Here is a 26649-nt window from a genome sequence, read left to right on the forward strand (position 1 = left end):
TGGATCTGGGAAGGGGGATAAGGAGTAGGGCCGGGGATGGGAACTTGTATAACTAGAGGGGTCAGGGTGAGCTTGCTGAGAAGGCGACATTTAAGTGAAGACCTGAAAGAGATGAAGGTCCACCACACGCACTCTGTGGAGGAGACCTGCCGTGCATGGAGGGGTGGGTCTGGTATTTTCTGCAAAGAACAAGGAGGTCAGTGTCCCCAGCATGGAGTCACTGCTGGGGCAATGGCCAGCATGGTTATGGGGCCAGAAGCTTTAGGCTATACAGACCATGGTAAGGACTTTGGCTTTTACTCTGAGTGATAAGGCGAGGCAGTCTAGGGTTTCAGCATTGGAATAACATGATCTGACTTACATTTTTGAAGGATCCCTTGGGCTCCTGAGTTGAGAAGAAATTGGAGAGGAGCAAGTGTAGGAAAAAGGAGGCCATTTGGGACATAAGTGCATTCATCCAGGAGAGAGATGGTTCTGGCTTGGACCAAGGTGCAGATGGTACAGATGGTGGAATGTGGTTGGATCCTGGACATATGAATGTGCCAGCAGTATGACAGAAAAAAGAATTCTGTATATATGCACTCAGTCATAACAAAGGTCTAATACCCAGAATCTATAAGGAACTTAAACAATTGAATGAGCATAAAACAAATAACCCCATTAAAAAGCGGGCAAAGGACATAAACAGAAACTTCTCAAAAGAAGACATACAAGCAGCCAACAAACATATGAAAAATGCTCATCATCACTAATCATCAGAGAAATGCAAATCAAACCACAATGAGGTACCATCTCACACCTGTCAGAATGTCTGTTATTAAAAACTCAAAAAACAACGGATGCTGGTGAAGCTGTGGAGAAAAAAGAAAGCTTATAACACTGTTGGTGGGAATGTAAATTAGTTCATTCACTGTGGAAAGCAGTTTGGAGATTTCTCAAAGAACTTAAAACAGAGCTACCATTTGACCCAACAATCCCATTACTGGGTATATACCGAAAGGAAAATAGATTATTATAACAAAAAGACACATGTACTCATCTGTTTATTGCTGCACTATTGACAATACCAAAGACACACATCAACCTAGGTGCCCATCAACAATGGATTGGATAAAGAAAATGTGGTACATATACACCACGGAATACTACACAGCCTTAAAAAGAATGAAACTATTTCCTTTGCAGCAACATGGATGCAGCTGGAGGCCATTATCCTAAGCAAATTAACGCAGGAACAGAAAACCAAATACTGCACATTCTCTTTTATAAGTGAGAGCTAAACATTGAGCACATATGGACGTAAACATGGGGACAACTGATACTGCAGACTACTAGAGGAGGGAGGAAGGGAGAAGCGTGCGGGTTAAAAAACTACCTATTGGGTACTATGTTCACTACCTGGATGCAATATATTCACGTAGCAAATCTGCACATGTACCCCCTATATCTAAAATAAAAGTAGAATTAAAATAAAAGAGAGGGCATTGGCTAACATAATTTAAAAGGATATTGCTTCAGACCCAGCTAGATCCAGAGACACAAACAATGTCAGAACATTCAGCCTGTTTTTCATTATTCAGATGTATTTTCTTTGGTGTTGGCTTCATTCTCAGCTAGTTTAACAGCACCATCAGGAAAACATTTTCTCTTTCCCAATAGTTAAGAGCCAAAGTTAAGACTGTAATGCGTTAACCTGGTTTAGGTCATGTGCCCATGCCAGAATCAAATATTGTGGCCATGAGAGGTAGAATAACTTTTTGGCCAGATGAGGATTGCATACTTACCTTGCTGTTTGAATTTTTGCTGTCACTCATAGCCCTGTGAACCTATTCATGACACAGCACATAGATGTACTCAAACGAGGCAAGAAGGAAGTCACTGCAAGGTTTGCATCAGTAGCCCATGTGAAAGCTGCTCATAACCTTACTGACATATTGTGTCATCCCTGTTACTTTCACAGTTTCAGGGGTTTCCATGAAAATGCTGACTGTTAAGATTGTTAAGGAAGCTGTCTAGAGGAAGAATAAGATTCCCCCAAATCCTGATTGTCTCACTTGCAACTGCAAAGTATCCAGCCTCACTCCAAGGGTGTCACAGCATGACAGCAGGTGAAGTTGACCTTGTTATTAAACACAGTCTGGAGTTTCTACTATCATGTGTCTATCTATAACTCCAACCTTGTATTTCTATCAGAGCTGCAGATCCATCTCCTCCTGCATCATGACTTTTGTAATCCAGTGGTTGACCAGGCACCTGGATTACAAACGCAACTAATCTAGTACCAAAGTCTTCATCCTCTCCTTTTTCTTCACCACCTCTGAGTCTACCACACTCCACTCCACATCTGATCTTCTCATTTCCTCATTTTGAATGGTGGCACCACCTTCTGCCCAGTCACTTAGGACTGGAATCGATGAGTCAGTCCTAGTGTCCACCTTCTCCTCCACCATCTTCATTTCTACCCGCTTCCCTAGAGTCCTGCCTTTAGTCTAGTGTCCTTCTAATCAGATCCATACCCCAAGCCAGGATGATGCATCTAAGCTGTGAGCAGAGGCATGTATTCCCATATGTAAAATGCTTTAGTGATTCTTCCTTCTTGGAGCACCTGAGGCTGTCTGTGAGCTGGCCCCTACCTACCTCTCTGTCTTTGCTCACACTCTTTCTCCTTAGTAAACGGTTAGTGCTCCAATTATATATTTCTTGTGGTTCCTTAATCAACCATCATTTGCATCACTGCTAAACTTTTGTTCCTCCTTGAATTTCCTTTTTTCTCTAGTGTGTGTGATGAAAACCAGCCTGCTCTTCTGTCTAGGCTCAGGTCAAGTGCCCCCTCTTCTCTGAACCCTTTTCTGGCCCTACCTCATTTAACCTCTGACACTTATGGGCCTCCACCTTACCTTGGGAAACTCTTCTCTCTGCCTCTGTACCAGGTTAGGGATTTTTGTCCATCTCTATGCCTAATGCCCTTTACCAGGCTCTAAGCCCCACTGGAGGCAGAGACTATGTCTTACTCATGCTTGTACTCCAGTGACTAACAGTTATTAGCATGTAATACATGTTTCTGAAGTGAATGAGTGCATTTGTTTTTCTGAGAAAGTTGTTGACTCCACTGTTTCCTCTGAAGGTGTAGTTGATGTGATTGGGCCATGTTATGGGCTGAATTAAATGCCCCCAGATTCACACCTTGAAGCCCCAAACCCCAATGTGATAGCATTTGGAAGTGGTGTGTTTTGGGGTAATTAGGTTTAGCTGAGGTCATGAAAGTGGGGCCCCCATGATGGGATTTGTGTTCTTATGGGAAGAAGAAGAGAGACCTGAGCTCTCTTACCACCAGGTGAGGACACAGGGAGAAGGCAGCTGTCATCAAGCCAGGAAGAGAGCCCTCATCAGGAACCACATCTGCCAGCATCTTGATCTTGGACTTTGCAGCCTCCAGAACTGTAAGAAATAAATGCCTGTTGTTTAAGCCACTAGTCTATGGAATTTTGTTCCAGCAGCCTGAGCTAAGACAGGTCACATGCTACAAATGTGTGCTGGGAGGTTGGAAGACAATGGATAGTGACTGAAGAACAAGGTAGATAGCAGCTTCTCTGAACTGTATTCCTGACGATGAACGTGCCTCTGTTCAGGTTGTTATGAAAGCAAATTGACTTGGATCTTGTGTTCTTCATCTCATAATTAGGGGACTTTGATTAGAAGACCTCTAGGGTCACTTTGAGGGACCACATTCTACATTTATAGATCTATATTAGTTCTAATGATACTTGTTTTGCTATAATAAGATGAAGATGTCTAGGAAAGTATAGGATAAAAATCAGAATAACTAAAAACTTAGTTATGAAAAGGAAGGCAAGGTTTTCCATAATTAATTGCTTATAAAAACTACCAAAGATGCTTGTTTGGGCAGGTGAAGGCAGGTAGAGTAATTTAAAGTATAAAAGATTTCCTTTGTTTAAGGAATGTAGTTATTAATGACTAACTCTACATAACAAAAGATTTTTCCAAGATGTGATTATATTAGACATTAAAAGCTGTTCACATTTCAAGTAGGCAAATATCAAAGTTTGGGATTTCTAATCTCTTGTTATGTGATGTATTTATAAGGTGCTGATAAAACTCTCATGGGTCACAAATTTATTATATGAAATTTTCAGTTCAAAATCATGTGTATATAATGACATAGAATAAAACAGAAGTACCCAGAATTAACATTTTAATATATAGTATGTCTATTTGTGTCTATATAAATATCTATAAATACAAATAATGTGTATTTATTTACACATTATTGTGTAATACAATGTGTAAATTTGTAATTATACATTTATTTAAATATAAAATGTATTTAAACATAAAAAGTATAAATTTATAATTATAAATTTATTGCACATTTTATATATACATTTTACATATACTTTTATAAATTTATAATTTTATACATATAAAATTATTTTATATGTATAAAATAATTGTTACTGACCTCCCAATTCACCAGTATCAGGAGGTTGTTCAGTATCAACAGAACTCTATCCAGGCCTGCATATTTTCACCATTTTTATTTTGCTATTCTATTTCATTGCAATTGCAATATATCAGTTAGATCATGGGTTGAAGCTACAGAAACAATCACCTTTCTAGCACTATTTTAACCTAGATTGTTATTCCCTTGGGCAGAAGACTCTTGCCTAATACATCTTTGTCAGCCCATAAAGACTAGTGAGATGTCTTGCCAGGAGGAGCTGGAAATCAGTAAATACTTATTTAATGAATTGGTTTGAAAATGAATAAACAAATAACCATAACAGAAGTTGAGTAGGGTACTAGTAATGCTGGAATACAACACCGTGAAAGCAGAAGCAGATAATGGATTACAGTGGCTGAAATCCTGAATGTAGAGTCAGCCCTGATTTCACATTTCAGCTCTGCCATTTACAAACTAGATAACTTAGGGCAAATTACTTAATATCATTAAAACTTACTCTTCTTGTCTATAAAACAAGTGAGCTTCTCTGAAGGTAAAATGAGATAATGCTCAGTAAAATTTTCATCACAGAGTAAACTCTGATGACTTTTTGAACTATTTTTATGGAAAGTAACAATTACAAAAATAGTAAGTTAATGAAATCATAAAGGCCTTCTTTTATCTTCATTATTGGCATTTTCACTAAAGATGTGATTTTAGGAACTGCTTTAGTAAGAAAGAGAAGATTCGAAGTCCTGAGGGGCAGCATTCCAGAAGTAGGATATGGCCTATGAAGGCTGGAAGGAAGGGCTTGGAATGATCAACAGATGTTCTGGACATCTGAGAATCTCCAGACAAGTTAACTGCACACAGCAATCTAGAAGAGAACTTTAACCTGGACATGAATGCGTTAGGAGGCTCCAAGTGAGCTCTTGGAAGAAGGAAGCCATGATCAATGCCTTATGCAGGAAAGTAACCTGGCCGCCAGCATAAGGAATGAGCAAAGAGAAGGCAGTTTTTGAAGGAAAATCCTGAGCTAAGATTAGGAAGTGACTCACTAAGTCACTGACCCCCAGGATCAGAATTATGGGTTTAGAAAGATAAACAACAGGAACTGGTATTTAGGGAGGGTGGCATCTTTTCAAGGAGGCTTCCTCTGGGAAATTCTCCAAGAGCTTTGAACATCTGAATGTAACGACATCACTTTGTACTGTAGTTATGTATCTGCTGCTGTCTCCTCTAGAGAGTGTGATGTAGGACATTGGAACTCGCTGAGCTGTTATCTGGAAGCATGCCCAGTGGGGCTGTGGCTGTGAAGATGGAAGTGCCTTAAGGACTCACAGCTGGAGTTGGGTAGGGTGCGAGTAGACACATGGACGAAGGGTTGCATCAGTGATTATACTTTATCCCTGTGGGGAGCCAAGAAGGATTGTTAAAGCAGGAGTATAATATGAACATAATTGCATTTACAAGTACCTCTTGGCCAGAGTCTTGAAGGATAGATAGTAGAAGACTGATGGCAGAGACACCAGAAAATAAGTCATTAAAGTCTCGGGTCAGAGGTAAGGCCTGCCTGTTGTCTTAGTCCATTTGGTTGCTATAAAAAATACTGTAAACTAGATATTTATAAGCAATAGAAATTTATTTCTCATAGCTCAGGATCTGGGAAGTCCAACGTTAAGGCACTGTCAGATTCAGTGTCTAGCAAAGACTGCTTTCTGGTTCAAGATGGTGCCTTCTATCTGTCTTCACATAGTAGAAATGGTGAGGGATCTGTTTTGGGCCTCTTTTGTAAGGGGACTAATCCCATTCATGAAGGGCTTAATCCTCATGACCTAATGACCTCCCAAAGGCACTGCTTCCTAACACCATCACATAGGGGTTAAGATTTAAACATGTGAAGTTTGAAGGAACACAATCATTCAGACCACTGGGCCTTGGCTAAGAAATTGGTGAGGGGAAGAAGAGTAAGGAATGGATTATAGTGATGCTTTAGAAGATGGAATTCATGGAAACTCACAGCCAATGACAGGCCTGGATTCAGATAAAGATGTAAATTTGGTAGAAAAAATCAAAGTGAGTTTTCACCCACTGACCTCTTCTTCTCATTGTATTTTGAAGTAGGAAGCAAAAGCAGCTGATGAGAATAAGGAGGCTAAAGCTGGACTAGAGGGCTTGAGATTGTGCAGAAGGTTTGGGATGGGAGACGAAATGCATCCAAGTCAACTGAGAGGAATATCGTGCAGCTCCGATACACCAATGTGGATGGTTTCAGGAGTGAAGCAAGTTGAAGGATGAGTTGATGTAGGTTTGGAGATTTGTTTCTCTACAGGAAAAGACAGGGCCTGGCTAAGCAGGTGTTTAGTATTTGTTGAACGAATAAATGCTTGCCTGGACACTGTTGAGAAGGAATTTATTAGGGATATGGTGCAAGAAAATAAAGATCTAGAAACAAGTAACTAATCTTATTTCCTAAGACATCTTTATCAGAGAAGCCTCATGTGACCCAGAGTAGGTTCAGCGCCACCTTGTATGCCCCATGGCACTTGGTGCCTTCCGTTCATTGGATTTTGCTTCTCTTTCAATTAGAAGTAGGTTATTCATGACCATTTGCGTGATGTCATCATCCCCAGGGGTCTGTTATTTCTGTTTTGTTGACATGGTATCCTAAGTGCTGACACACAGTAGTCACTCCATCAATCTACAGTGCTGGATACAAAGATGTTAATGGAGGGAATGACATGTATTTTTTTTTTTTTTTTTGAGGCGGAGTCTCACTCTGTTGCCCAGGCTGGAGTGCAGTGGTGTGATCTCGGCTCACTGCAAGCTCCGCCTCCCGGGTTCATGCCATTCTCCTGCCTCAGTCTCATGAGCAGCTGGGACTACAGGCGCCCTCCACCATGCCCGGCTAATTTTTTGTATTTTTAGTAGAGACGAGGTTTCACCGTGTTAGCCAGGATGGTCTCGATCTCCTGACCTCGTGATCCACCCACCTCCCCCTCCCAAAGTGCTGGGATTACAGGCGTGAGCCCCCGCACCCGGCCCCGACATGTATTTTTATATATTTTGTTACTTGATGGTCTCTTGTAAGGTTTTGTGAATTGCTTTAATTAGTAAGAAAACTGGTAAGCTAAATGACAAATGGTACTTTATTGGAATATAGTCTCTTTCTGGCTCATAAGGAAGAGAAATTTGTGTAATTACATCAAAATTATATGGATATTACACAGTGATTAGATAAATAAATATAAAACCGTACAGCTTCAGGGCAACTTACACCTAGCCTCTGTAATAATTACACTTAACCTTGACATTATTTATGGTTTCCTTTTCCCCCTTATTACACGTTTTATCATACTAAGTGTTTTAAACTGATAATGCTCAAAAGTAGCACATGATGTGTATTATTATAGAAATTAATGCTTGCCTTAATAACAGATGCTTTCTATTTGGGGTTTGAAATGAAGAAGCAGATATTTTCCTAGAATACATCTGGAAGTGATTTTATTACTAAAACTGAAAAAAAAAACCTTTCAGGTATCAAATGTGTCTGGTCTGTGATACGTCAGATTTCTGAATTCTTACACTTTTATTTCCTATAGAAATCTGAAAGTGTGTTATTAAAAGTTAAACTGTTCTGTAGATTGTCTACCTAATTTCATAAGGTTTAGTGTAATAGATATGAAATCTATGTCACATCTACTGTGTGGTCTTCATATCTTAGTTATATTTAGAATTTTGATCAATAGATTTTGGTAGAACATTATTGAACTTTCTCTTTTTTTTTTTTTTGAAGATGGAGTCTCACTCAGTGGCCCAGGCTGGAGTGCAGTGTTGCGATCTCGGCTCACTGCAAGCTCCGCCTCCCGGTTTCACGCCATTCTCCTGCCTCAGCCTCCCAAGTAGCTGGGACTACAGGCGCCTGCCACCACGCCCGGCTAATTTTTTTGTATTTTTTGTAGAGACGGGGTTTCACCATGTTAGCCGGGATGGTCTCAATCTCCTGACCTCATGATCCGCCCATCTTGGCCTCCCAACGTGCTAGGATTGAACTTTCTCTTTTTTAATGATATTATTTTACATCATAAAATGTGATTTTACTTAACAGCACAAATATGTTCTTCAAAAATGAGTCTATCAAACAAAACGTTCATAAATTAAAATCAGAATGAAATATAAATGCAAATTTTGAAAGCTAAATCATTGTTTATATTTTAAAATATTCTATATTTCCTCACCTTAAAAATTGGATGCTATTCACAAATATTCCTAAAGAATATTTTTGTTCAGCTAACATCAAACTGTGGATTACTTACATAGTGAGTTACACACTACCTATCTTTTCCTCTGCCAAGCTGTATTCCAGACTGCCATAATTAATTAAGTAGGTGAATGAATCTCTGATGGGTTGTATGTCTGTTTCTATACTCCTCAGAGAGTTTCTCTCTTCCACTGTGTTAGAACACCAAATAAATTGGGTCTCTATCACTACTCCAGGTTATTATGAAAGTAAACATCTGGTTTTACCTTCAGAAAATAGCATTGGTTGTTCAAAATTCAAGATATGCGTGTGTACATTAGCCTAAAATTTATTTTTTGAAATTATAATGGGATTGTTATATAACTCCTTCTGCAAGAATATTGTCAAACAAAAAAATCTGTATCTGTCTTTCTCACTGAAATATTGTGAGAGTTAATGAGACATTTGTGGCTAGATCGTGCAATCCTTTCAGGAATCTCAAAGCAAGAACAAAACAGCATTTCCTTTTGAAAGGCATATGTTTTACTGTCAAACCAAACTTAAAGCAGTAGGAATGATACACATTTCTGAGTTAACTTCCTGCTTTCTTGGACGTGTCAAAATTACTGATGTTCCAGCGTGACAGAAGCCTAGTAATGAAGGAACCATGTAGGTGGAAAAAAATTATTACCCGACTTGCAATCAAATAATAGAACATAGGTATATAATATTCAAAGAAAAGAAAGTGAGAGTCTGAAGTCATGCATAAAGCAAAATCTTCACAGTAAATTGATAGGCTGGGCGCGGTGGGTCACGCCTGTAATCCCAGCACTTTGGGAGGCTGAGGTGGGTGGATCACAAGGTCAGGAGTACGAGATCAGCCTGGCCAACATGGCGAAACCCCGTCTGTACTAAAAATACAAAAATTAGCTGGGCGTGGTGGCGGGCGCCTGTAATCCCAGCTACTCAGGAGGCTGAGGCAGGAGAATCGCTTGAACCCAGGAAGCGAAGGTTGCAGTGAGCCGAGATCGCACCACTGCCCTCCAGCCTGGGGAACAGAGCGAGACTCTATCACAAAAAAAAAAAAAAAAAAAAGTAACAGACTGGAGTCTTACCTATGTCTTACTTTTTCCCTAATTTTAAGTTAGACACTAATAGAGGTCCGGTAACTAATTGTATTCACTTATGTAGTACTTGGTATAGATTTTCATCTTAGGAATGTCAGAATAATGGTACTTACTGCTGACTGCTGTATATTACTGCTCAGGTTCAAGACAGAAAACCGAGAGTTACTTCTATTTCCTCCATTTCACCTCATCCTCCCGTTTCAAGGGATTGGTGAGAACCTTTGATGTTATCATCTCCAAACATACATCAAATTCCTGCCCTCTCTCTCTCCTGTCCACTGCTACCCCATCATCTCTTCTGTCCATTGCTACCCCATCATCTCTTGCCTGAAATACTACAACCAACCCCCTTGTCGCTCCACTGTCTCTCTTGCCACCCATCTCCCCCCACTATTCCATAGCCACAAGAAGCAAAAGTGACCTTCAAATGTCACTCAGATTGTATCACTCCACTGCAAGGACTTACCATTGCACTTATTTTAAAACCCTAATCTCTCTTCCTGGCCCCTGTCTGCCCCTTGCTCCCAAGTTCTGTCCATTTTGATATTCTTTCCTTTCCTTAAAACCCTGACTGTTTCCTCCTGGAGGGCCTCGGCATGGTGTGGTTTGCTCTTTCCCGTGACTTAGGTCTCAGCTTAAATGTCACTATCTTCAAGACGTTCTACTTGACTCCTTTTGTAAAGTTGGCTGAGACCATTTCCCTCCCTGCTTTATCCTCTCAGTTGTAATTTATTATGATGAGTGTTATTCATGTAGCAGAAAGTATCTCCTTTCATGCATTTGCCGCCAATTGCCACTGTTTATCTGCATGTTTGTTGCATGTGAGCTCTCTGAGCACAGGAAGCTGGCTTACACACAGCACCTTGGAGTAAATGAATGAATGGTCGAATGAAAAGTGCTGATAGGCCGGGTGCAGTAGAGGTTCATGCCTAGCACATTTCTATAAAATCAGTTGGACGTGAAGTTTGACAGTGGCTTTTTCACTCTGTCTGCTGCCATGACATGCAAATAGTGCCTTCTCATGTGAGTTGCATTGTTGGTGAAATGGGCCTCGGTTTCTTCACCTGAAGCAAAAGAAATGAGAGCAGATAATCACCAAAATTCCAGCTCTAAAATCCCCCAGGCTGTGCAGATGCCACCTATCCCCAGAAATGGCTTGAAATGCCACGTGGAGCTAAGGAGTCTCTTCCTGAAGGAAAGAATGAGCACAGTCTGAGGAGGGTGTCTGGGGAGCGCATCGATTTCGGAGCTGCTGTGGGAATATACTTAGGTTCTACTGGAGAGCTCATCTTGCAGAAGCTGACTGCATTGAACGTGCCGGGGACCACCTGGTCCCCCTCTTCTCGTTTGGCAAGAATCCCGGCTATCGATGAAGAAACCAGCTGCTTTCCTATGTAGTGAACAAGCACAATAATGTTTATACAGTTTCCCAGCCTCTCTTCCCCCACCCACTTTCACCCTTCCTCACCCAAGAATAATCGTGCCAAATAGATATCAGATTAAGAAAATGCTTCTCATTAGTTGTCTGCTCAAAACAACTTTGGAAGCAATCCTAGAACATCCCGTTGTATCTTCACAGCCCTTTATCTCTTGAAAGTTGTTGAGAGAGCTAAATTAAAGTTGCCTACCATTAATCCTTGCTCTCAACACTGTAAATCAAAGGAATGAAATACTTCTCATCACAATTCAGATCCCAAACAGGTAAAAATTACAACATAAAGCAAAATCTAATACTGGCATTGCCCCTGTCACCTGAGCCACGTATCCTGACTGAAGTAATCAGCAAGGGGCAGGCTTGTACTGCAACTCAACAATTGTTTCAGTGGCCATGGGTTGTGTAAATACATTCCATTTTTAACGTCCCCATACTAAAAACGAGATGTGGTCATCTTCACTTGGTTCTTAAAACGGATAGGTTAGATCCAGTCTCCACAGCTGTTTTGCAATTTCACGTTATAGTGACAGCTTCCATAATACAAATTCAGATTGTAAAGACTGACCTCTCTTCACTGTCACAGAGCATTCTGGGTGAAGGCTTTTTATCTGCAAGTTGCACTTGACAAGCGTTTTAGAGAGGGAAGGTAGCAAAATAAAGAATCAGACAACGAGTCAAAGGAGCTAAGCTCTGTTCCGAGAGGCCCTGATATTGATTTGTGGAGCCTTGTGTCATTTTCTCTATCTGGGCTCCAGTTCTTCCATTTACAAAATATGGATCATGGACCATATTGTCAACCTGTGTAATCCACGAAGTCAGTTTTTATAGATATAGAGCCAGCACTGATCAAATGTGTCAGCCTCTTACAACCACAGCGGCATTATGAAGATCTGTAAGTGAGCACTTACGGAGCTTCCTAAACACCTTGGGAGGAAACCAGTCAGTGTCTGAACACAAAGAATTTATCTACAACATAAAACAAAAACCACTGCAGAGTCAGAGATCCCAGTGCCCTCATCATCGCCTCTTCTAGGATTACACAGTCACGGAACGTGTGCATCCGCCTCCAGAATCGCTCCCCAAATTCCATGGGGTAAATATTTTACTAGAAAATGTGAGTCAAAAGGAAAGCAACCTGTCTCTAAAGTAAATCTTATGGAATAAGGTTTTTAATATTGTGAAAAACACAAACTAACCATTCTTTCCTAACAAATACCCCTAGGGATGGGGGAAGCACAAGGATCTCTGCGATCAAGCCCTGCCGGGCCGCAGCTTTCATTAGGTTGCAGAGGCAGCTCTTCCTTTCCCTGAGTGTTCCTGCATCCTTGAGGCCCCTATAAAGAGGACTCAGCGTCTGTTTGGCACCGCCTGTTCTCCTCCTTCCTTGTGTCTCTTCGTCCACTCTGTCACCACGGCGCTCGCAGTTTTCTCAGGAGACACCTGGATCTCAGGCTCTAAGGCCTGTCTCACTCTGTGACGCATGTGGTCATGAGCACTCTGACCTCCGCATGAGGATGGTCAGATGGCAGAGGGCAGAACACTGGGTCAGAGATCTGAAACCCAGCATGCAGCCCTACCTCTGCCTGTCACAGGTTTTAAGACTTTGGCGAGTCTCAAATCTTCAAGACCTGGCTTCCCTTATCTATAAGACAAAGAGATCGGCTTGAGTGATGTTTGAGATGTTTTCCACCCTGCAGTGATTCATTATAAAATAATAGACATCCTCTGACTCCTATGGACCAGTCAAGGATTGAAGCTTCTTAAGGCCAGTTATTCCTCTGCCATCTGACTCGCACATGTAGCAGTCTCTAAAGATTGCCTACTTCAGTCATCTGATTGCGTCTGTTTCACAGATTCTTCTGGAATTTTTCTTCTTTCAGTTGGCTTTTTTTTATCGTGGTCAAAACCCCCATAGTCGACTATGATCTAAATAAGCAGTGCCCTCTCTATTAAGAACAGTGTTGAATTACCTATTCTTGCAACCACATTGACCGAGCTTCATCTCTGTTATAAATCATAACCTGAACAGACAATCTCAGTGCATCCCGGCACCTGCAGATTGGATATATCAGTAGAAGTTCCCTCATCCCCCAGTTCCACATGCACAGCACTCATTGAAGTGAAAGCATGAGTCTCCCATATTGAAAGACGAGAAGATCCCATAACACATCTGTGAATCTGGACATCTCAAGCTGCCTTTCAATGGATTTTAGACTGTGATCATACGGAGGGCTGAAGAATTGTCTGCTCTACGTCTTCCACAGTGTACTGGTCTTGTATGTCTAACACCCTATAAGAGTAAACAATGTGCTCTGATAGATGAGAATTCTAAAAAAATGATATCTTCTATAATGATTCTTTAGATTTAAATGTTCATTATGGCATTTAGGAATCCCTGTTATAAAGCAGGTTTTAAAAATGTTTTATCCACCATGTCATACTTTTGAAGAAGCTATGATCTCAGGAATAAGAGATAGGTTACAAGAGTTCTCTATCATGGAGAAACTTACTTTTAAAACTGTAACATCAGTAAAGAAAAAAATGTAGAACATGGACAACTAAGCTTTGTTCCTAGTACGGTAAAGTGATGCTGATGTTGGTGATTGCTATGGATTTTGAGTGGGACTTAGTTGAAACACAGCATAAGTCCAACATCAGTCCTCAACTTGGCCCCAGCACTGACCAGTCATGAGGCAGCAGAGGAGTCACTGCCCCTCTCTGGCCTCAGTCCCTTGTCTGTAAAATTAGTAAAAGGCGGTTTGCCCTAACCAGTTCACACTGCTGACTTGAAAGCCAGACGATGTGAAAGTCTGTTGCAAGTGTAATGCGATCTTTCCATCTAATGCGAGGCCTGGCTCCATTTCATGCATGATCACCTTCAGCTGTGACTGCAGCCCTTGCTGGTAGGACCTCTCTCAGGGACTCCCACTCACCCCTAACCTTTAGCACTGAATGTCAGGTTGGTGACTCCCACTCTTGCTCTGTAGCAAGCAAGGCAATTCTTTTACTTAAATGTCATTTTGTCTTTAAAGTTCTAAGTCTTCTTTTTTGAGATTCCCTTCTACCAGTTTTTTCTCCCCAAATTAGATATTCCACAATTTTCAACCTTTTTTGAGCTTATTCAGCATATTTATGTTGTACTAAGTCATTGTTTCAATAAAGAAGAACTAAAAAAGTGCTAGAAATAAATTGTCCTGCTTTGCATAAAACCTTAAGAGTAGTGTGTGTGTATGTGTGTGTGTGTGTATGCGTGCGCACGCTATTACAGAGATAGATCTTTTGCAGAATAATAAAAATAACTATGGGGGTCCTATTATTTAGACAGAAGGGGTTAAATGAACCCTACAAGCTTCTTACTGTCAGGAGAGAATAGATTTCAGAAAAAATAAAGACAAGGAAACAAGCCCCAAAGCTATAAATTTACCCACAGTGTTTAAACACTCCTTTGTGATTATTTTCTAAATTTTCTCAGGTACCCTTTTTCATTTGAAATGTTAGTGGAAAGTTCTGGAGAAGAATTTATTGCAAGTAACGTAATAATTATAAAATAGAAGAAAAGGGCCCTGCTGACTTGCCAGAGCTTGAAGCAAAAGAGAAAGTTGCCTGCATTGACGGGGCTCGCTCAAGTATTTCAGTTTCAACACAGCTGTCCTTTCTCATTGCAGATGGAGGGCGGCTGCCACCATATGCCACCTCTGTAATAAACAAAAGTAGTGCAACAATATAATTAATAGCAAGCCATTTTCATTTTTAAAATTCCAAAAAGGAATATGCTTTTCACGAAAATTCAAGATGTAATGCCCAAGTAAATTGGGCAAAATACAGCAATGTATCAATGAGATTCCACTTTAAGAAAGCCAATATACAAAATATTGTACTTGAAAGTTAACATTACTGTCATCACAAATTACTTGCTTATATTTCTTTATAGTACTTTAAGAATTGTAGTCTCACCTACTTCATTCAAAATGACTCATCCTGTAACCAGTCTTTTCCTGGGATCTGTTGTATCTCCATTATATACCACTGAAAATATTTACTAAATAGGTTCCCCAAATAAAAATATGATTTGTTACATAGAATTTTCTGCCTTTTTCCTGTTTCCTATTGACATGCATTGTTTCCTTAAATAATGATGATGATATTAATAATTGCTAACACATATCATGCTTAGTGTATTGTTAAGAGCTTTATATTTAATCATGAATAATCTTATCCGGGAGATATTATTATCTCCACGTTACAGATGATAAAACTGAATCATAGAAAGATTCGTCACTTGCCTTTCTTATAACTCGTTAGTGATGAGTGGGGCTTGAACCTGGCAATCCTTCTCCAAATCCGTGGTCTGAGTCACTGTCCTGTGAATTAGGGCTCAGTAGCAATGGCTCTTTTGCCACGGCTTGCTATGATTGACTCTTACAGCAGTGAGCTCTCTCTACAGTACTCAAGATCTGACTGTGGTACTCCATCTGACTTTTCTGACTTTTGCTGAGAACTTTATGGAAAATATGTGAATGTGGAGGAATTTCAAGAGAATCCCTGCAATAATCTGAGCTTGTTTTGTTGTGTTCTCTCTGCCTTCTTGTCTGGACAATGCCTACCAAGGTATCCAGACAGGAAGTCCATGTTGGCTGAGAGGCTGAAAATACATAAGCCAATAGATGGTAACTCAAGCTGTGCAAGGGACCCAGCCACCGTCATGTAAATTGCTACCATGATCTAAGCTTAATTATCATAGACAGTACTAATTAAAAGACAATATTGTAAATATAAACTGGCCCTGATATATGGCAAATGATTAGTATGTATTACAACTTGCTAAATCAAAAACATGTCTTAAAATACAAGATAGTATTGCAATAAGTACTAGAGAATGCGACAAGAAAATTAATCATCTGCTCTTTACCACAAATTCCTTGTACAGGATATCTGCTCTTTGTGTTTTGTTTCACACTTTAATGCAATAAAGTGTTTACAAAGCATAAAGCACTCTGTTCATTTGTCATGTTTTACTTTAGCTTTTCCATTTTTTTCTCTCTACAACACTTTTCACTGAAGATAAGTTTGCTGACATATGGCATAATCATTTTTTCTCTTAGTTACCCAATTCTGCTTCACAACTTTAATTTTTATATCTATTCGAAATTAGTTTTAATTACCTCAACACTTTAAATTGATTTAGCTCTGGTTTTAGAAAAAAATTCAAATAAAATCTTTAGCAGGTCCTTCTTCTCTCCCTCCCTTCTTCTCTCCCTTTTCTCCCTTTTTCCTTCTTGCCTTCCTTCCTCCCTTCCTCCCTCTCTCCCTCCCTCCCTTCCTTCCACAAATACTGCTCAAGTCCTACCATACCGAGTACTGCACTGTAAATACAAAGATGAAAAGTTACAAACCTGCCCCCTCGGAATTTGCACATCCAGTGAGGCGATTGACAGAATGTGCTGGAAAGGGCTGGGTGTGAGACGGGATTTGAGACAAGAGCAGAAATTCATGGAGGTGGGCAGGGCAGGGAAGGCTTAGCAAAAACAAACAAACACGAAGATGAACAGAATAAAGTGTATGTTTGAGAAATCCTGAAACCCGGAGGCCGTGAGTAGTGAGAAATGGAAGCAAGAGACACCAGACAAGGCGAGAAGGGATGTTTGGCTCCAGAATAACAGAGGCACTGAGTAGCGTGTTTTAAAACTTAAATTGTAAGTTTGAGATTTAAATAGAGAAGGAAAACGATTTTGAGTTTTGACAAAATAACTTTGGAAACCATTCAAAGAGTGGACTGCAGCTGAATGATGCTGGCAGGTGTGGAACAGTCTAGCCATTATGAGGGCCGAACGAAGTGACCCTATCATGGATGGAAAGGTGGGAGGGAGATAGAAATCTTTAACTAACAGGACTGGATAAAGGACTGGAGTTGAGGGGGGAAGAAAGGTAGTTGCTGATACCCTCCAGGTTCTTATAATGAATGAGTTGGAGGCAGTGCTGTCAAGAGACACAGGAGGAACAGCAGGCTGTACAGAAAGATAATAAGATAACTCTGGTGTATAGATGTAGAGATGGAACAGCAGTGTGGTATCCAGATTAAGTATTCAAGTCATAGCCACTGAAATTTGGAACGAGGTACATATGCCTGGTTTCATTTTTATCGTTTAACTTCTTTTAGAGAATCTAACTAATGTAATAAATATCTATAAAACAATATTTTCTTATAGAAATATACTATCACACACACAATGGATGACAAATATTGAAAAGAAGAAAAATTATTTTGTTATATAATTATGTCACACAACAACAAAATCAAGATATTCTAAATTCTAAATACTATTATTAGAAGTATCAAATAAAAATGAAAGTAGGGTGCATGAATATAAAAAAATACGCAAAATGAAAGTGGTTTTCTTTATAGTATTGATAACCAATTGGAAATGAAAACAGGGTAAAATACCACAAAAATAACAACACTGTACAAGTCCTAAGAAAAATATAGCGAGAAACTTGCAGGACTTGAGTAAATGAGAAATATTTGTTAAGTAAGAACAAATATAATGGTATTGCAGGTTAATAAATTGTTTATTATATAAATATTTAAAATTTTGTACAGCTAAAAATACTTTAAATATAGATATGAGTTGAAGGATAGACTCAAAGAAAATATTTGTAAACATTTGATAAATAATATCACTAACATACAAATAGCTCCTTTATAATGACAATAAAAAGATCCATAGCGTAAATACAAATGGAAAAGTCTTAACAGGTAATAGATAAATGAATATAAATTGTCATGTAAAAGTCCTTCTTCTGAACTAAAAGTTAAGAAAGTGAAAATTAAACATATAAACAAGATACCATTTTCTTTTATTAAAATTTCAAATTAAAAAAAAAAACCAGCAATAAGTCCTAGCAACGGCTGTATTGATATTTACCTGGTAAGCTAAGTATCACCAATAAAATACTAATGTTCCACTTCATAAATATTCGCCACCCTGAGCCCCTTTTTTTTCTCCTCGAACCCCATCCCACCCTTCTCCGACTGACCAAACCCTTCCAACTTCAAGAGCAATAATTAGAGGATTAATTTGTGGCACTTGAATGTTCCTGCCTAGCTTATTATTAAATATTTAGAATAGTATTTCTGGGTATGAGTACAGCACAATGGGGATACTCAGTTATACTGCAGTTGGGAATATGAAGTGTTAAAACTTTTTAAAAGAGTTACATTACTATGTTTATTAAAACTCAGTATCTGCTTATTTTTAAACACCCCAAAACTACCTTATTTTTTAATCTTATAAAAATAAAAGCACTGACATATGTATAAAGATGTTTATGGCCAGGCACAGTGGCTCACGTCTGTAATCCCAGCACTTTGGGAGGCCGAGGGAGGCAGATCATCTAAGGTCAGGAGTTCAAGACCAGCCTGGCCAACATGGGGAAACCCCATCTCTACTAAAAATACAAAAATTAGCCAGGCATGTTGGCAGGCGCCTGTAATCCCAGCTACTTGGGAGGCTGAGGCAGGAGAATCACTTGAACCCGGGAGCCGGAGGTTGCAGTGAACCAAGATTGCACCACTGTACTCCAGCCTGGGTGACAGAGTGAGACTCCATCTCAAAAAAAAAAAAAATGTTTATAACAGCATAAATAGCCCCCAAACTATAAACAGCATGAATGCTCATTACTTAGAATATGGCTGAAGAAATTATAGTATATTTCTATAAGAAAATATTGTGTTTTATAGATATTTAAAAGAACAGATTAAATTTGTGTTTACTGACTTAGAAAGATGCCCATAATGCACTGTTTACAAGAAAAAACACAATGTGTAGGGTAACATGTACTTTTGTTTAGAATACCAGTTTTATTTTAGAAAAAGAAATACATCTCTCTCTGGCTCTATCTCTGTCTCTCTATCTCTGTCTGCCTGTCTGTCTGTCTCTCTCACACACACATACACACACACACACATTGTAGACATAATTCTATATGGTGTGAGGATTAAAATGTATGAACAAATACACTCCCAGTTGTTGGGGATGGGTGAAGGGGATATGCACAGGATATTAACTTTTTCTTCATATAACTCTGTATTGTTAGACTTATTTTATTCAGCATTTTATTCTTGCCCTTCTAAAAAAAACTGTAGAAACTCCAGACAAAGAGAAGTCTAGAAATGACATTCTCCAGAGTTGAAGGAAAATAGTGATTATAATAGAGCATGACAAATTAAACACAGACTATATTATTTAATAAGAAAAGAAAAATAATAAAAATTTAAACCCACCAAATAATGAAATGCTTTGTTGAACTAAGCAATTTCCTCTAGAACATTGATTTTTAACATTTTTAAGGGTGACTCATCCTTAGAAGAATTGGATGAAACACTTTTCCCGGATAAAGGTAGCTGAGTTCTCAAATCCATAAATTGCATAGAATTGTATAGGTTTGCTGAATCCCTGTTCTCCAGTCTCCTAGTTAATTATTTAATTAAAAGCAATTGTAAATAAGTGCAAAACATATATTCGTTATATAGGTCCTCTTCTCATTGTTTTGATAATAACCTGTCTTTATAATGACCTGCTTTCTTAGGACGAATATGTTTATTTCAGAATTAAAGCTTTAAAGCTAATTCAACCCCACTTTGCCAGTCCAAGATGCCTTTACTCTTCTGTTAAGCTTGCCACTCCCTTCCTCCTGGGGTGAGGTGACATCTCACTGTGGTTTTGACTTGCATTTCCCTGATTATTAGACATGTTGAGGATTTTGTCATCTACCTGATGGCCATTTGTATGTCTTCTTCTCTGAAGAAGTCTATTTGGATCTTTTGCCCATTTCTTTATTGGATTATTTTTCTTGCACTGCGTTGAGTTCATTTATATTCTGGATATTAACTCCTTGTCAGATGCATCATTTGTACATATTTTCTCTCATTCTGTAGGTTGTCTCTTCACTTTGTTGAGTGTCTTCTTGGCTGTGCAGAAGAAGCTTTTCAGTTCAATGTAATCTCATTTGTCTACTTTCGCTTTTGTTGTGTGTATCTTGGAGATCTTATCCAAAAAATCCTTGTCCAGACTATGTTGTGAAGCCCCCTTTTGAGTGGTGCTAATAAATTACAATTATGTTTAAATTATTTGATAAAATTGTATCTCTTACACACTTGAAATGTTGGTATAATTTTATAATTTATCTGATTTTTTTAGCTTTACTTTGAGCTAAAATCACCTTTTGACTTATTTTCCTGTCAGAATAAATAATATATGCAGCAAAGAATACTAAAGATAGACTAATGAAAGTTTAATGTGCTTTCTATTTAATAGTAATTCGGAAGTTTACTTAAATAAAATAAATTCACAGGTATTAAAAATTCTCCCTCAGAGCTTTTAGGGCCTAAAGTTGGTAAATAATATTCAGTCCAGAAAAAAAATGAAACTTAGAAATTAACAGAAATGAATACTAAACTGCAAAAATTTATATTTAGAAAGAAGAAAGGCCTGCGAGTTTTAGAAAGATATGTAGTTTAATGGTGGAATTTAATAAATGGTCGATATGTTAGCTTCTTTGTTCAGCTAATTCATACTCTTTAGAAGGTTCAAGGTTTTCCCAGTACTAGTTCTCATCACAATTATGTGAAACACACACATACACACACACACACACACGCACACACACACATTTTCAGTGTAATAATTACTAGCATAAGTTTTTAATTACACTGCATACAGATCTCATGTCATTAGGCCCAGGTCATAAATGTATGCCTAATACTCTTCAGTCAGTTCACCATTGTTTTACCTAGTCTCTTAAAAATAAATGTGAAAATGTTTATTCCTCTGGCTTTTCAGTAGGGGCAGTTGAGATCTCATGTCTTTCTTGCCATATATTAAGAAAAAATGTTAATTAGGTGCTACCATGATGTTTTTCTACCAGGATTAAGTAAGGTTCAGAAGCAGATAAATATGGCAGAATTGGAGAATTACAATAATACTCTTGTTTTTGGCATTTGTTGGCTTTTTTGCTTAGAATTTCCAAGTATGTTTTTACATTAATATTCTCCATTTAAGAAACATCCTATGGAGTAGCAACAGGGAAATACTGTTTTATCTACTCAACCTACAGAGACAAAGCTAAATGCAGAAGGATAATTTGCTCATTTAGGATCTGATGTTCTCGACCTTCCATCACTTATGTGGAAGATATTTCATATTTGCCTGATATAAATATTGGCAATGTATGGCCCCGCCTTTAAGAATCTCATTAAATTTATCTGTAATAAACTATACTACAGGAAACTATGGTAATTACTACAATACAAGTTAAGTGTCATCGTAACAGGAAGCAGGAATGGGAGCCATTACTTTCTTTTTTTTTATTTCAATAATTTTTGGGGAACAGGTGGTGTTTGGTTGCATGGAAAAGTTCTTTAGAGGTGATTTCTGAGATTTGGGTGCACCCATCACCCGAGCAGTGTCTACTGTACCCAATGTGTAGTCCTTTATCCCTCACCCCCTCCCAAACCTCCCACTGAGTCCCCAGTGTCCATTATATCATTCTCATGCCTTTGTGTCCTCATAGCTTGACTCCCACTTATGAGTGATAACATACGATGTTTGGTTTTCCATTCCTGAATTACTTCACTTGGAATAATACTCTCCAATTCTATCCAGGTTGCTGCAAATGCCGTTATTTCATTCCTTTTGATGGCTGAGTAGTATTCCATGGTGTATATCTATAATATATTTATATATTTTTATGTATAAAACATATATATATATATATTTACAATGGCAAAAATATAGAACCAGCCTAAATTCCCATCAACCAATGATTGGATAAAGAAAATGTGATATATATATGTATATATACACACACACGCACACACATATACATGCTGTTTTCATGACTATGGCCTTATAATATAGTTTGAAGTCAGGTAACGTGATGCCTCCAGATTTGTGCTTTTTGCTTAGTCTTGCTTGCTTTGGCTATGTGGGCTCTTTTTTGGTTCCATATGAATTTTAGGATTTTTTTTCTAGTTCTGTAAAGAAAGATGGTGGTATTTTGATGGGAATTTCATTGAATTTGTAAGTTGCTTTTGGCAGTATGGTCATTTTCACAATATTGATTCTATCCATCCATGAACATGGGATGTGTTTCCATTTGTTTGTGTCATCTATGATTTCTTTCAGCAGTGTTTTGTAGTTTTCTTTTAGAAGTCTTTCATGTCCTTGATTAGATATATTCCTAAGTATTTTATTTTATTTATTTTGGAGCTGTTGTGAAAGGGGTTGAGTTCTTAAGCTGATTCTCAGCTTGGTCCAGTAAGATTGGTACCAATTCTTTTTTGAATGTCAGCTGTGAATCCATCTGGTCCTGGATTTTTTTTTTTTTTTTTTGGTTGACAAATTTTTTCTGTTAGTGTTTCAATATTGTTACTATTGTTACTTGTTATTGGTCTGTTCACGGTTTCTATTTCTTCTTGATTTAATCTAGGAGGGTTGTATATTTCCAGGAATTTATCTATCTCCTCCAGATTTTCTAATTTGTGTGCATAAAGGTGTCTACAGTAGCTTTAAACAATCTTTTGTATTTCTCTGGTATCGGTTACAATATCTCCCATTTTGTTTCCAATTGAGCTTATCTGGATCTTCTGTCTTCTTTTCTTCTTGGTTAACCTTGTGAATTGTCTATCAGTTTTGTTCATCTTTACAAAGAACCAGCTTTTTGTTTCATTTATCTTTTATATTGTTTTCTTTTTGTTTCAATTTCATGTAGTTCTGCTGTGATCTTTGTCATTTCTTTTCTTCTGCTGGGTTTGGGTTTGGTTTTTGTGTTTGTTTCTCTAGTTCCTTGAGGTGTGATGTTAAATTGTCTATTTGTGCTCTTTTAGACTTTGCGACGTAGGCATTTCATGCTATGAATTTTCCTCTTGGCAACACTTTTGCTGTATCTCAGTGGTTTTCATAAGTTGTGTCACTATTATCATTCAGTTCAAAGAATTTTTAAATTTTAATCTTGATTTCATTGTTGACCCAAAGATCATTCAGGAGCAGATTATTTAATTTCCATGTATTTGTATGGTTTTGAGGGTTCCTTTTGGAGTTAATTTCCAGTTTTATTCCACTGTGGCCTGAGAGAGTACTTGATATAAATTTTGATTTTCTTAAATGTATTGAGACTTGTTTTGTGGCCTATCATATGGTCTATCTTGGAGAATGTTCCATGTGCTGATGAATAGAATGTATATTCTGCAGTTGTTGGGTAGAATGTTCTATAAATATCTGTTAAGTCCATTTGTTATAAGATATAGTTTAAGTCCATTGTTTCTTTGTTGACTGTCTGTCTTGGTGACATGTCTAGTGCATTCAGTGGAGTATTGAAGTCTCCTACTATTATGGTGTTGCCATATATCTCATTTCTTAAGTCTAGTAATAATTGTTTAGAAATTTGGGAGTTCCAGTGTTAGGTGTATATATATTTTGGATTGTGATATTTTCCTGTTGAACGGATCCTTTTATCATTATATGATGTCCCTCTTTCTCTTTTTTAACTGTTGTTGCCTTAAAGTCTGTCTTGTCTGACCTAAGAATAGCTCCTCCTGCTTGCTTTTGGTTTACATTTGCATGGAATATCATTTTGCACTCCTTTCTCTAGGAGTTTATGTGAGTGCTTATGCATTAGGTGAGTCTCTTGAAGACAGCAGATACTTGGTTAGTGGATTTTTATCCATTCTGCCATTCTGTATCTTTTAAGTGGAGCATTTAGGCCATTTACATTCACTGTTAATATTGAGATGTGAGGTACTGTTTTATTCATCATGCTAATTGTTGCCTAAATACCTTATTTTTTTTTCCATTGTGTTAGTGTTTTATAGGCCCTGTGAGATTTATGCTTCAGGAGGTTCTATTTTGGGGTATTTCAAGGTTTTGTTTCAAGATTTAGAACTCCTTTTACCATTTCTTATAATGCTGGATTGGTAGTGGTGAATTCTCTCAGCATTTGTTTGTCTGAAAAAGACTTTATCTCTCTTTCATTTAGGAATCAGTTTTGCTGGATACGATATTCTTGGCTGATAATTATTTTGTTTGAGGAGGCTAAAGATAGGACCCCAATCCCTTCTGGCTTGTAGGGTTTCTGCTAAGAAGTCTGTTGTTAGTCTGATAGTTTTTCCCTTAGAGGTTACCTATGCTTTCGCTTCACAGCTCTTAAGATTATTTCCTTTGTCTTGACTTTAGGTAACCTGATGACTGTGTACCTAGGTGACAACTTTTTTGTGACAAATTTTTCAGCTGTTCTTTGAACTTCTTGTAATTGGATGTCTAGAACTGAAGTGAGGCCAAGGAAGGTTTTCTTAATTGTTCCCTCAAATACGTTTTCCAAGCTTTTAAATTTCTCTTCATCCTCAGGAATACCAATTATTCTTAGGTTTACCTGTTTAACATAATCCCAAATTTATTGGAGGTTTTGTTCATTTTTAAAATTCTTTTTTCTTTAAAAATTTTTTTTATTTCAATAGGTTTTTGGGAAACGGGTGGTGTTTGGTTACATGAATAATTTCTTTAGTGGTGACTTATGAGATTTTGGTGCACCCATCACCTGAGCAGTGTACACAGTGTCCAATGTGTAGTCTTTTATTCTTCACCACCCCCACCATTTCCCCTGAGTTTCCAAAGTCCAATTATCATTCTTATGCCTTTGCATCCTCATAGCTTACCTCCCACATTTGAATGAGAACATACTATGCTTGGTCTTCCATTCCTGAATTACTTCTCCTAGAATAATAGTCTCCAATTCCATCCAGGTTGCAGTGAATGCCATTATTTCATTCCTGTTTATGGCCAAGTAGTATTTCATGGTATATGCATACCACATTTTCTTTATCAACCCCTTGATTTAATGGGCATATGGGCTGGTTCCATATTTTTACAATTGCAAATTGTGCTGCTGTCAACATGCATGTGCAAGTATCTTTTTTGTATAACTTCTTTTCCTTTGGATAGATACCTAGTAGTGGGATTTCTGGATCAAATGGCAGATCTACTTTTAGTTCTTTGAGGAATCTCCACACTGTTTTTCATAGTGGTTGTACTAGTTTACATTCCCATCAACAGTGTAATGTGTTCCCTTTTCACCACATCCATGCCAACATCTAGTATTTTTTTATTATGGCCATTCTTGCAGGAGTGAGGTGGTATTGTATTGTGGTTTTGATTTGCATTTCCACAATATTAGTGATTTTGAGCAATTTTTCATATGCTTGGTTTTCCATTTGTATATCTTCTTTTGAGAATTGTCTATTCATGTCCTTAGCCCACTTTTTGATGCGATTGGTTTTTTTTTTTTCTTGCTGATTTGTTTGAGTTGTGGATTCTGGATATTCATCCTTTGTTGGATGTATAGATTGTGAAGATTTCTTCCCACTCTGTGGGTTGTCTGTTAACTGTGCTGATTACTTGTTTTGCTGTGCAGAAGCTTAAGGAAGGAATAGAATCTCTGAACAGGCCAATAACAAGCAGTGAGATTGAAATGGTCATTTAAAAACTGTCACCAAAAAAAGTTCACAAACAGATGGATTTACAGCTGAATTCTATCCGACATACAAAGAAGAATTGGTACCAATCATATTGACACTATTCCAAAAGATAGAGAAGAGGGAATCCTCCTTTCAGTCATTCTATGAAGCCAGTACCACCCTAATACCAAAACCAGGGAAGGACATTTAAAAAAACGAAAACTACAGACCAATATCCCTGATGAACATAGACACGAAAATCCTCAACAAACTACTAGTGAAATGAATCCAACAGCATATGAAAAAGATAATCCACCATGATCAAGTGGGTTCCATATGAGGGATGCAGGGATGGTTTAACGTACATAAGTCAGTAACTGTGATAAACCACATAAACGGAATTAAAAACAAAAATCACATGATCATCTCAATAGATGCAGAAAAAGCTTTTTGACAAAATCCAGCATCCCTCTATGATTAAAACCCTCACCAAAATCAGTATAGAACAGACATATCTTAACATAATAAAAGCCATGTATGACAATCCCACAGCCAACATTATACTGAATGGGGAAAATTTGAAAGCTTCCTCCTGAGAACTGGAACAAGACAAGGATGTCCACTTTCACCACTGCTATTCAACATAGTGCTGGTATTCCTAGCCAGAGCAATCAGACAAGAAAAAGAAATCAAGGGCATTCAAAATGGTAAAGAGGAAGTCAAACTGTTGCTGTTTCCTGATAATATGATTGTATACCTAGAAAACCCTAAAGACTCATCCATAAAGCTCCTAGAACTGGTAAATGAATTCAGCAAAGCTTCAGGATGCAAAATTAATGTACACAAGTCAGTAGCTCTGCTATACACCAACAGTGACAA

General features: G+C 38.1%; 1 protein-coding gene across 19 annotated transcripts in view, besides 1 other annotated feature; it reads left to right on the forward strand.

Moving 5' to 3' along the window:
* Window positions 1–26649, forward strand: part of PACRG (parkin coregulated) — a 588369-nt gene that overhangs the window by 232138 nt on the left and 329582 nt on the right. The gene's annotated exons all lie outside the window — the stretch shown is intronic.
* Window positions 5252–6451: an enhancer, noted in NCBI's record as "CDK7 strongly-dependent group 2 enhancer chr6:163385553-163386752 (GRCh37/hg19 assembly coordinates)". NCBI's record gives its function as "activates an origin of replication core promoter dependent on BRD2, BRD4, P300/CBP, MED14 and CDK7 cofactors, with strong dependence on CDK7, by STARR-seq in HCT116 cells {active_cell/tissue: HCT116}" and the evidence as "EXISTENCE:reporter gene assay evidence [ECO:0000049][PMID:35650434]".

The sequence above is a fragment of the Homo sapiens genome, chromosome 6, assembly GCF_000001405.40.
Source record: "Homo sapiens chromosome 6, GRCh38.p14 Primary Assembly".
Taxonomy (NCBI): Eukaryota; Metazoa; Chordata; class Mammalia; order Primates; family Hominidae; genus Homo; species Homo sapiens.